Genomic DNA, 12,613 nt, shown 5'->3' with positions numbered 1-12,613 from the left:
CTAACCCAGTCCAAAGGGTCAGTCCTGATTACCCTCATCTTGAGTAGTTGCTGTTGAAATCTGGCTGTGTTCCAGGAGGCAAAAGCAGACATTCTCCCCCATTCTCCCCTTTCTTCTTTCCCGGGTCCCTGTAACTTGTGATACTCTGCTTCATGTCTGCCATGCAGGACTAGCTGTCAATGGCACAGCTCTTTAGGGTCCAAACTCTTCAGTTCACAAGTGCTAGCCATTTCCCTAGCAGTCCCATAGGGTCAGGTGAATGGGTTGGAAGGAGGTGTCAGTGTCAGCTGCATGCTGTTTCCAGAACCAACTCCCCGTCTGATGGGTTCTAGGCCCTCTGTCACCCGTCCAGAGTCTCCTCTCTCATGGTGAAGCTATTTCAGAGGGCTTTTCACCACTGTCTGTCATTGAGCCTCTGTCAGAGAATCCCTTAATGACATGTTCTGGTAACCCTGAATCTCAAAGAGGCCAGGTCAGTTATGCTCAATTCGGGCTATGATTATTGTTATTGAGCACTATTTGCTGTCTAAGCCTCAGTTCCTATTAAGTTAAACTGAATGAAAGAGAAAATGGGTGGGGAAGAGCTAGCTCTGCTGCTCCCAGATGAAGGTGTGCGTGTGTGTGGATGCATGGATGTGTGTGTGTGTGTATGTTGCGGGGAGAGGAGCAAACTTTAAAGACCAAGCCCTCAGAGTGCTTTCCTCTGCACTCTAGGGCTCTTCCCTCTCATGATTTTCCAAGAGAATCTAAAGCACAACCAACATAAAGGTATTAAAAAATAGATTCTGAGTGACAGATAAATTTTATAGCCTCTTGCTAACTTGCCATGATCATAGTCTAGATTTTTTTTTTTTTGAGAGAGAGAGTCTCACTGTGTTGCCTAGGCTGGAGTGTGGTGGCATGATCTTGGCTCACTGCAATCTCTGCCTCCTGAGTTCAAGCAATTCTCCTGCCTCAGCCTCCCAAGTAGCTGGGATTACAGGCACCCGACACCGTGCCTGGCTAATTTTGTATTTTTAGTAGAGACAGGGTTTCACCATGTTGGTCAGGCTGGTCTCGAACTCCTGACCTCAAGTGATCCACCTGCCTCGGCCTCCCAAAGTGCTGGGATTACAGGCATAAGCCACCATGCCTGGCCCATTTTGACAATCACAACAGGCCAAATTCTAATCACATTGTAGGTATGCCAGGAAACCCCAGAGCTGTCTGGTAAGAGCCCTGGAAACCCAGAAAGAGACAGAGATGCTTCTTTGGCCTATCAGGAATAGATTAATTTGGCCCAACCCAATTAGTAACACAACATCTTCTCTATGCTGGGCCACTGGGGAATGAAATGCTGCAGCTCTTTCTGTGGAAGAGTTTATCATCTCCTTGGGGAATGCAGAAGGATGCACTCCTAGAAATAATTAAGACAACAGACTCTGTGCAGGGCTTCTGGACATGAACTTTCCTACCCTGGTTACCATTGCATGACCAAGCTGCTTTAGCAGAGTAATGCTTACATGTTCTTTGCCTGGTCACTCTGCACAGCCACAGCCTGACTCTTGGAATCAAGGAAGCATTTGCTTCTAGTGGTCAGGGCATGTGGGATGAGAGGTAAGACCACAGCAGCGGACATCCTTTCTGACTGGGTGCAGAGCTAAGGTTGAAATGGTAAAGCTTTGGGATTTACCATTCACGAGGTGTTTTCAACCCAGGAAAGCAGACACAAACAGGAGAGATGGGGTCCTGTGTCTGGAGATCTGGGTGCCCTGTTTTGATGAAGAATCATCTGAAAGGTGAAACAAACAAAAAATATGAAACAACCTCTATATCTAAGTCAGAATGGGGTGGGAACAGGGACTGGGGCTAGGCTTGGGTTAGAAGTGGTGTCCATCTCCTGGGAGAGTGTGGTGGGGATTTCATACAAGAAGGGAAGTCCCCCAGTTTCCTATGGGACTATGAGACAAATTGCTTTTAATTATGTTAATTACAACAACAGAGCACTCCACTTCTCAGGAGAGCTTTTCATCTTCAAAGGGGCTCCAGGATGGAGCATTAACAGTTGTCATGAAAGTCTCTGGAGTTTGAGAACTGAAGTCAAAGGAGCCCTAGCTATGTGGGTTGGGGCCCGTGTATGCCCTGAAAAGCCAATGTCTAAGGGATTCTCTGGCTTCAAGGTTAGGAGCAGGTCAAGGCAGGGGTATATGTCTGGGAATTAGCCCTACCTCACTGAAATCAGAGAGGCAAAGGAATGGGCGTGCCAGCCTCAGTCCAGTTCCCTCAAGCCCCGACTCCCTTTATTGGGATTGCCAGTAAAATCAAGGATCCCCAGTTAAATGTGAATTTCAGATAAACAACAAATAATTGTTTAGTGTATTCATGTATTCATTGTTTATCTGAAATTCACATTTAACTGGGCATCTTGTATTTTTATTTGCTAAATCTGGCCACCCTATCCTATATGCTTCTCTCCCCCAATACACACACACACACACACACACACACACACACACACACACACACACACGTGTCTCTCTCTCTCACACACACACACACACACACGTGTCTCTCTCTCTCACACACACACACACACACACGTGTCTCTCTCTCTCACACACACACACACACACACACACACAATGAGAGGCCCAGCTTCCAACCTGACAGACTCCTACCTGAGAGGTCAGCAAGCCTAGGCGTGTTCCCCTGGGGCAGGGGAACAGAACTCTCTAGACCTGCCCAGGCCCAGCCTCTTTCCCTCCTGCATGTGGGAATGTGAGAAAACTCCTGTCTCAGTTCTCTAGGGGGAGGATCTTCAGGGCTGGGCAGCTGGACATATAGTGCATCCTTCCCAACACCTTTATTTACCTTGGAATTTGAGGATGAAGCAGCCTGAGGAATGGACTCTCTAAATCTTCCTGATCCTTCCCTCCCATCCTTCCTCCTCTGTTTGCTTAGCTTACCTCCACTCCATGGCTCTTGTGGCTTAAGGGGGAAACCTTTGGCCACCCACCCCCATTGCCCCATACTGCTGGCATGGAAATTCCTCTGTGACAAAAAACAGAGAGAAAAGGTCACTGGGCTGAGATGAGCTTCCTGCCTAGGCAGTGGAATCCAGGCTGCCAGGACGGGTCTGGGCCTGAACTAGAAATGCTGCCGGTTTCCCGGGCTGGGTGGGGAAGAGAGGACAAGCTGGCACTTGCCACAGCACAGAATAGTAACTGGGAGGTTGCGATGCCTGCTCTGAGCCTGAGCGAAACTCTCAGGGCCTCCAGACATTGACGCAGGTAGAGAGGTTCCCAGGCCCCAAAGCTCCAGATTCAGCCCCTGGGCTCAATCAGGGTCAAGGATAGAGCATGCTGCCTTCTTCCCACCCCCAGGACAGGCAGATGGTCACACATGTTCACATTCTGGGGTATTACTTCAGGCCTTTGGGTAAGATTAACATTCCAAAGCTCCAATCCTCAGGTTCCCCTTCATGACCTAATAGAAAGGGCATGGAGTCAGACAGATCGGGCAGAATCAACTTCCTACTCACCATTTACCAGCTTTGAGACCTTGGATAAAACTCTTAAAAACTAAATTTTTAAAAAATCCCCTGATGAACCAAGCTGAGTAGCTGGCAAAGCTGTGCAGGGGATTTCCAAACAGAGAGGGGCAGAATACGCAGCCACAACTTTTCCTTCAAAGCGCAAGATTCTGGAACAATTCCAGAAAAGCTAACATAGGTAAATTACTCTTAGATTTGTATTGGGGAACAAGAACAATAACAACATTCCCCCTGTGAATAGCCATAGTTGGTAAAACATGCTAGTGTTTCCTTCCCTCCTTCTCCTTTCTTAATAAATCAGAAGTGCATGAATTAAGTATCATACACTTAGCTCATGGGCACCATTTAAATCATTACCTGGCAGTTATGAAGAATGTGGAACACTGAAGTTCTTTATTAAATGTTTATTGAGTAACTGGCTAACTAGAGGAAGAGAGAAAGGAAGGGAGGAAGAAAGGAAGTATCTATTTTATTTCAACTGAGTAGGACTTAGTAGAAATTATGACTCTTATTTTACTTTTAAAAACATTTATTTATTTATTTACTTTGGCCATTTCCACTCAAAGGACTGACTCTTATTTTAGAAGCCTCCAGTGCTGGTACTGTATTTCCTCAAATACCCCTTTGCTAGGTCTACTGTTTCCCTACCACCTTCCATTTCTATTCTGCAGCAGCTGTGCCCAGCTCTTCTCATAGTGTTTTGTAAATAGTGAACTAGAGCAGACAAGAGCTTTGAAGCTTCCTGGCTACCCCAGGGAATTAAGCTGGCAAGGCACCTGGCCAGCGTAGTCTTGATGGGTCCTTCTTTGGATTCGAAAGGCCCAGGAGAAACTGCTACTGCTAGCAGCAGCTCAATAGTATGCAGATGTCATTGTGCTGGGGAGGGACAGGTGGTGTGTAGGCAGCCTTGTCTCTGATTCTTGGGCCTGAACAAAATAAGAGGGGTAAAACAGTCTCAGAAGGATCAAAAGTTTCCCAGGGGATTGAAAACCGGGTGGAGTCATGCACAGGACATTGGTAACATGTGGGAGCAGCCCTGGGATAGGGGGCGATAGAAGGGTCTGATGAAGCACTCTTCCTACTCTTATTCTATGTCTCTTGCAAATCCACTTGCCTATTTCGAAGTTCAGGGATTTGGACTTGAACTTGAGCTTGACCACTTCTCATGTGATCCTGGGGATTATCCTTTATGGGCCTTAGTTTCCTCAAGAATAAAATAGAAATGCTATCACTAACCCACACACATGCATTTAGCAAAGATACGTTGAACACCTAGTGTGTGAGAGGCCCTGAGAACACAGTAGCACAGACAAAGCCTCTGTCCTCTTGGAGCTAATTCATACTCCAGGAAAGAAGCCCCCAAATGGCAGCTCCTGTGGGGTGTTTTATATGGCTCATGTAATTAAAAGTTAAAAAATGCAAATGTATAAAAAATTAGTAGATTTTACATAAAAAATCTAGATTTCCCAGTGGCAACATTGGACCTGTATTTCTGTCCGGCAGCCGTCAGCCAGAGCTTAGTGGCTGCTTCTTTTAGAAAGAAAGCACGCTTTCCAGGTAGCCACAGTCCTCACCATTTCTAGACACTCTTACCTTGCCCAACCTAAACAATATTTTTGTTTTTTTACCCAAAACTTTTCAATGCCCCTCACTGTAAAGAGGAGAAAGTCCAACTCTTTGATGTCACATTCAAGGCCTTCCTTCCAGTTCTGTTTCCTGCCTAATCGATCCCTGCAAATGCTACACTTCAGCAAACTGCAGTTTCCTGACTATCCCATGAGGTACTGCTGAACTATTATAATATTATCCTCTTTGCCTGAAATGCTTTTTTTGGTTCTCCTTTTCTATCTAGAAAATGGTTACTGAACTTTAAGGATCATCTTAAACATTCCCCTCTCCTTTTGTGAAGACTTCTGCTGAGAAAATACTCAGAGGGTCATGTGAAGATCCTCAAAGATGGAAATGGTCCACTTGAGACCAAAAGGCCATCAATGGCTCTACATCCTATGTTTGATTGGGCACGGGGCCCTCCAGCTGGTCACAATTTGTAAAAAGCCTCAGCTTTCTCAATAAATGGGAACAAAATATGAACATTAAAAAAGATGTCTGTAAATGAACTTAGATAACCATGAAAAGTGTTTGAATGGTCATTAATGCTTATTAAGCAGTAGCTATTGTTCCAGCTGTTGTTATTAATATTCCAAATGGAGGCAACTTCATTAAAGATGGTAGATCAGCAGATGCAAAGCATATTCAAGGAAGACAAATTTATTATGGTTGAAGGGTAGCAAAATGGTAGAAGATATGGTTGGAAAAGTAGGCTAGGGCCAGAGAGGGGCCTTCTAACTGGTCTCTCTCTGCCTGACCTTTTTCTACCTTCTAGCTTAAGCACAGCAGCCAGATTAATTGTGCAAAACAAGTTACCTACGTCACTCCTCTGCTCAAAAGCCTCCAGTGACTCCCGCTTACTCTCAGAGTAAAAGTTGTTACCTCTCAGACCTCATATGCCCCACCTCCAACTCTCCCCTTGCCCCAGCCACACTGGCCTCCCTGCTGGTCCTTTAGTGGGGCAAGTATATTCCTGCCCTGGGGCTTTTTACTTGCCGGGCCCTCTTTCTGGAATAATCTTCCCTCTGATACCCACTTGACTCCATCACATTCTTAGCGCTCTACTCAAATGTCATCTTCTCCCTGGTTAGTCCACGTAAAATTTGGATCCACTCCACCCCCTCCTAATCTTTTTCAGTTGCCCCCTTGTCCTTCTTAGAACTTGCCATGGACTTACATACTTTACTTGTTTATTGCCTGTCTCCCCAGCTAGAATATAAGCACCACGAGGGCAGAAATTTTTGTCTGTCTTGCTCACTGCTGTGTCCCCAGCACCTAGAACAGAAATTTGGCACATAGTAGATAAACAATAAGCATTTGTTGGATGAGGGAATAAGCTTTCTTGATTCAGTAAGCATTAGGAAATCACAGAATGTTTTTGAGCAGGACAGTGATGGGACTGGAGCTCACAGAGGGCTGTAGAATAGATTGGAGTGGGGCTGAAAGCTGGGAGTTGGGAGGTAGTCACTATAGCAGAAGGGCACATATGTGAAAGTTTAAACAGAAGGCTTTCATAGGAACAGGAGACAATATGTTTCAAAAGGGTGGGGATTCTTCTGGTGTATAGTGCTCAATAAAGATTTACTGAAGGGTGAATGAAGGAATGATGTTTGTGTCTCATGTCAGGTAGACCCAGGGCCCTGGTCTTGGTCTGTCTTAGAAAAACCAAAATCCTATTTGCTCCTGACTTTGGGGCTCTCCTGGTCAGGGGTTACATGAGATTGTTATTGAAAATCTCTTATTTATATATACATCTCCCCTTTCTTCTTTGACTGGGCTAACCCTCTGTAGCATCTAGCCACTTCTTAGGCCCAAGCTTAGCTTGGACAAAGCTGAGATTCAAGCTGTAGAAATTGAGGTGGGGTTTAGGCTGTCAGTGTCTGGGGCAGGGACCAGATAGAATCACCTTTTTGAATGTTATGCAACTGGAATTTTAGGCAATGTGGAGAAATTAGTGTGGCAGGTAGTCCTTAGGCCTTCCCTGGCCAGTCCAGAGCCACTCAAGAGAGTGGAACTCCCCATGGAAACCATCTTTACCTTTTTCCACAGAAGGCCAGGGTAATTGGATAGGAGGCCAGTATAGGTTGAGGCTGAGCATTGGACTACATGAAGAGAACATTCTGACAGTGGAGGGGTGAAGGGTGGGGCTGCTACTTGGTCAAAGAACTTCTGGTTTCTACCCTGTCTTCCCTGTCCCTTAGCCATATCTCCTCAAGGGAATTCTTCACTAGGCTCTGAGAGTCACACTTGGGCCTTGCTCTTAATCCAATCAGCAGAGAAGAGATACTTTGTGTCCTCGCTGTCCCAAGAACAAATACACAGTAACACTGCAGGTTTTAATTAAGTGAATACCAGGTGCCCTGAACTGTGCCACATCCTTGCCTAGAGTTGGGGAGGGGGATGCAGCAATAGAGAAGAATGATATTTTCTAAGATGTGGTATTGTTTTATTTATTTCATTGAATCCTATTGTCAATCCCATGAAATAGGCAGCATTCTCATTTAGGAGGTGAGTAAACTGAGGCTCAGACTGCCTGGACAGTTAGGAAATGAGAGACGGGAAACTGGAGACAAATTTTGACTCATTCCAAATCACAGTTAGTTTTTCTGATGCAGCTCTGCTGTCATGGAGTGCCAGAGAATAGTCTGACACCCAGGTCTCCTGACTCCCCAAGTGCTCTTTCTTCTTTCTTGAAAACAAGTAATGATAATATTTTCGTTAAATAGTATATAAATCTGCTTTAAGATTTAACCAAATAGGACTGAAAGCTTTATAACCAAATCATCAGCCCCCACACACATCCTATTTTTGTTGAAATAATATTTTGTCTCCTATTATTTTTGTTGAGCTCTCTCATCCATTCTTATCTCGACTCTCATGCTTTTTGTCATCTCTTAACCTTATAGATTAATATGTTTTAAAAAAATTCCTTCACTGTCATTGATCACCTGAGGTGATCTGGGGTGGTGGGGGGTGGGAGAAGAGAAAAGCACATTTGGTTAATCACTCATATTGAACAGGAATCCAGCTTCTTGCCACACTGCTCCCCGAAGATTCTGTACTCCTGGAGTCTTCATTTTCTGAAATCGACACATTGTCCAGTGCTCTGTAGCTCAAACTGAGCCTAACACTCTGCTAGTTCCTGTCTGGCCTGCACCTTGCTGCCCTTAGGGCTTGACTGAAGCCTGGAGAGAATTATCTACACAAAGGAAACAAAGAGCAGATAACAGCAGTGATGGTCGCTCCATCTGCACAGCACTCCACCTGTTTCAGAGAGCGTCCATATCCACTATCTCATTTCAAAGCAGCATAGAGTCACAGGATAGGTTGTTTGGTGCTGACCATGAAGCCAAAATCCGGCCACTGTTTTGTCTCAATGGGGAAGCAGCTTTGAATCAGAACTCTGAACTCTCACATTCATGGTGGTTGTAGTTTCTTCAGCTCTTTTGTCTGCAGAGCCAATGAGAAAGCTCTCCATGCTGGGGAAGATGGGAAGTGGACCCTCAAGCTTTGGAATGAATGGGCAGAAGAATGAAGGGAGGGCCCCAAGGGGGAGCTTACTTCCAAATAATTTCCTGGGCTTTGCTTTTCCTCCTTCGCCTCCCATAGAGATCCAAGTTTGGAATAAAAAAAACTGCTTCTTTGAGAACACTTTCCAGTGCTCAGCTTGCTTCAAGGATAAAAAGGGTCTTCTAACTATGGAAAGACTCAGAAGATGTTCTGAACACTTTGGTGGAGAATTCTTCTAGAGTCCAAAGCCAAAGTCTGTGCCATTGCTTGGATTGGAAAGTGAGATTCTTTTATGCTTCCTGCCATCTTGGTGATTCTAGAATTTGGAGGCCATTATAGAGTGCAACAACCAGAGTGCATTCAGTTTAGGCTGTGGCTTAGGCAATGTGTTAGGATCACCTGTGGCCCTGATGCTTTAAGATACTTGGATGGAGACAGAGATAAGCCAGGGCCAAGAGAAAAGTGAGGGTAGACCTGATGGGCTCCAGAATGCCTTCCAGAAGGAAGGTTGGAGTCTGATTTCCTTTGAAAGCACAGAATTGGATTGTTTAGTGCAATGTCCCTACCTGACTCTTTAGCAACTCCACCAAAGGTGCACAGCTTCTTTGCTATCACCAACTCCAGTAACACTAAACTCTCCACTGTATGGAGCCTTTGGGAGGAGTCCCAGTTGCCACGCTTTCTGCTCTGCCAAGAAGAGAGTGGGATTTGGGTTCATGGTTTTATTGTCACATGTCTGATATTGTAGAGTTTAAAGTCTCTGGGTGGAAAAAGAAACTCTTTCCTACCAAATGAGAGCTGACTGGGAACAGGAGAGGGGAATTCCCTCATTCCCTGTGGCTGTGAATCAGGGCCCCCGTGCTGAAATGTACGTCCCACTACCTGAAACTCAGACTCACTAGTGAGTCAGCAATGCCGCACCTGATTATCAATGGAGGGCAAAATGATGGGAGCATTGCAGGCCCAGGGCATGTTGGGAATGACTGAATCCTGAAGAGGCTCTTTTGAGAATACAGAAGAACTGATTCCTCAAGAGCTTGTGGAAAGACTCACAAGATGTTCTTATTCCCCAGATCAAGCAGATGAGGCGTGTATCAGAATAGAAGACATCAGGGTGGCCTATTGTCAGGGCTTGTTGCCTGCAGAGCCGGGGAGTTCCTCCTGATCTCTACCTTAATTCCACCTGCTTTACCCCCTTTCATTAATTCTTCAGTTGAGTGACATGAGAGTAGGGACTTGGTTTTGTTTATGGCAATATCAACAATATCAACAGTACCTAGATCCATGGGTGATTTTTTTTTTTTTTTTTTTTGAGATGGAGTTTCCCTCTTGTTGCTCAGGCTGGAGTGCAATTGTGCAATCTCGGCTCACCGCAACCTCCACTTCCTGGGTTCAGGCAATTCTCCTGCCTCAGCCTCCCGAGTAGCTGGGATTACAGGCATGCGCCACCAAGCCTGGCTAATTTTGTATTTTTAGTAGAGTTGACCATATTGGTCGGTCCGGTCTCCAGCTCCTGACCTCAGGTGATCTGCCCGCCTCAGCCTCTCAAAGTGCTGGGATTACAGGTGTGAGCGATTGCACCTGGCGATTTTTTTTTTTAAATCGTTAACAGCCAGTGCAGAACAGGTCAGAATAGACTTTGGCTGCGGAGCTGAGCAGGGGTCCAAGTGGATAGAGCCCCGGGTTTGTGTTCTAGTCTTGGTTTGTGGCTAATATGCCATGTGACCTTGAGTAAATCACTTGACCTCGCTGGGCCGCAGTTTTCTCATCTATGAAAAGGGAGAATTTAGACTAGAAGTTGCAATCAGATGCCTACAGGGTCAGGCAATTAAAGTAAATTAGTGAGCTCAATAGAGTGAGTTTGTATTGGCTGTAACGTGTAGACTCCCTCTAAATGGGCAACTGTTGCCAGGTAGAACTGCTGGTAGAGCATCCAGGGCACTTGACTCTTTAAGAGATGCTGAGAATTTTGATGTTTATGTGATACCTCCTGATATTTAAAATACTGTGTGGGTAAAAACTGGCTAAGTCAGTTTTAGTCTTGATCTAGATAGTCCAGAAGAACCCTCCCAGCTTGAGTTTTCTGATTCCAAAATATATGTCTTCTAAAGAAGGTCCTTAAGACATCCCCTTAGTCATGGGAATTTCAGCTGGTGCAAAAGTGAGTGCCTGTGTGTGGGCTCATACTTGTATGCCACTGGGGTTTTGACTCCCCTCAAATGACACTCTCCCAATGGCCTTACCCCTCATCCCTCTCATACACCTGCAGTGGAGCTTGTTTGGTCCCCAGAGCCCAGCCCTGGGCCAGATGGAAGATGCTGTTTGTCTAGTGAGCTCATCAGCAGTAAACAGCTAGCTGTGCTGATGAGCTTGCCCTTCCCCCAGTGAAGGGAAGAGTGGCCACAGGGCAGTGGTTGAGACAGAGGCTGGCTGAGTCAGGCCTTGGGGCCTTGCTGCCTTCCCAGGCCTTTGCTGGCTACATTCCAAAGCTAAATTGGGACTTGGAATCATGCCTACATTATTATCAATCTGGGGCTCTTCAACACACTTGTATGAGTATGCTAGGGCTACCATAACAATGTACCTCAGAGTGGGTGGCTTGAACAACAGAAATTTTTTGTTTCATAGTTCTGGAGTTTAAAAGTCTAAAATCAAGGGTCTGAGGGATGTGAAAAAAAAAAAAAAAAAAAGAGCTCTATTCCAGGTATCTCTCCTTGGGTTGCAGCTAGCTGTCTTCTCTTTATGTCTCTTCATATCACCTTCCCTCTGTGGGTATCTGCCTCTGTGTCCAAATCTCCTCCTTTTATAAGGACACCATTCATATTGGATTCAGGCTCACCCTAATAACCACGTTTTAACTTGATTACCTCCATAAGGATCCTGTCTCCCAATAAGGTCATATTCTGACATCTGGCTGTGGTTGCAGTGGGGGTGGTCAGGACTTCAAAATACAAATACAAATTTTTTTGTATGTGGGTGACAGTTCAACTCATTGTACCACTCCTCCACAGTTTCTCACTCATTACTTTAAACACCAAAACCTAAGTGACCTGCGCATGCCCCATTTCACCTACGACAGCTCAGTGGTTGAGGGTGGGGGATTTTTAAAAGTCTCATTTACTGTTGCACAGCCTCCTGCAAACCGGTCCTCTAGATAGATGAGGAAGGTGAGGGCAATCTCATCAAGCACCTGTTAGGGTACATGCAGGACTTGAATTTCAGGTAATAACAAGGAATGCCTTCTTGTTCTCTGACGCACTGTCTATATGGTATTTTTAATCTTTATGCCAATAATAATTGCAAGTACATATAAAGCACTTGATAAGTGCTAAATATTGTTGCAAGCAGTTTACATGTAGTTATTGAATTCCCACAATACCCCTGAGGTAGGTACTATTACTAACCTCTTTCTACAGATAAGACACCAGGGCCTAAAAAGCTTAAGAAACTTTCCCAAGTCTGTAGTAACTGATGGAGTTGGGGTCTAAACCCCAATAGTTGGCTCCAGAGGCTATGCTTTTACTCATTACACGATAGTGATCAGAGGAAGCAGGAACTCCAGTCTGGGCAACATAGTCAGACCCTGTCTCTAAAAAAAAAAAAAAAAAATTAGCCGGGCATGGTGACCCATGCCTATATTTCCAGTTACTTGGGAGGGTGAGGTGGGATAATTGCTTGAGCCCAGGAGGTTGAGCTATGATTGTGCCACTGCATTCTAGCCTGGATGACAGAGCCAGACCCTGCCTAAAAAAAAAAAAAAAAAAAAAAAAAGGAATTGAACTGGGTGCCAGTGCCTGTAATCCCAGCACTTTGCGAGGCTGAGGCGGATCCCTTGAGCCCAGGTGTTGCAGACCAGACTGTGTAACTTAATAGCAAGACCCCATCTCCAAAAAAAAAAAAAAAAAAAAAGGAAGAAAAAAGAAAGAGAAAAAAGCAAACAACAACAAAAAAGAAGGAAGGAAT

The 12,613-nt window shown here is 45.2% G+C and overlaps 2 annotated features.

The window, feature by feature from the left end:
- Positions 2,838-3,612: an enhancer, noted in NCBI's record as "VISTA enhancer hs932". NCBI's record gives its function as "enhancer in: limb[9/9] | branchial arch[9/9] | eye[6/9] | nose[7/9]" and the evidence as "EXISTENCE:transgenic organism evidence [ECO:0001131][PMID:17130149]".
- Positions 3,589-3,758: an enhancer, noted in NCBI's record as "experimental_2681 CRE fragment used in MPRA reporter constructs". NCBI's record gives its function as "activates a minimal promoter by MPRAs in K562 erythroleukemia cells, with activity observed for the introgressed 1:209988989 variant allele {active_cell/tissue: K562}" and the evidence as "EXISTENCE:reporter gene assay evidence [ECO:0000049][PMID:34662402]".

Source organism: Homo sapiens, chromosome 1 (genome assembly GCF_000001405.40).
Source record: "Homo sapiens chromosome 1, GRCh38.p14 Primary Assembly".
NCBI lineage: Eukaryota > Metazoa > Chordata > Mammalia > Primates > Hominidae > Homo > Homo sapiens.
Note: the sequence above shows the minus strand (reverse complement) of the source record. Positions and strands in the feature narration are given on the sequence as shown.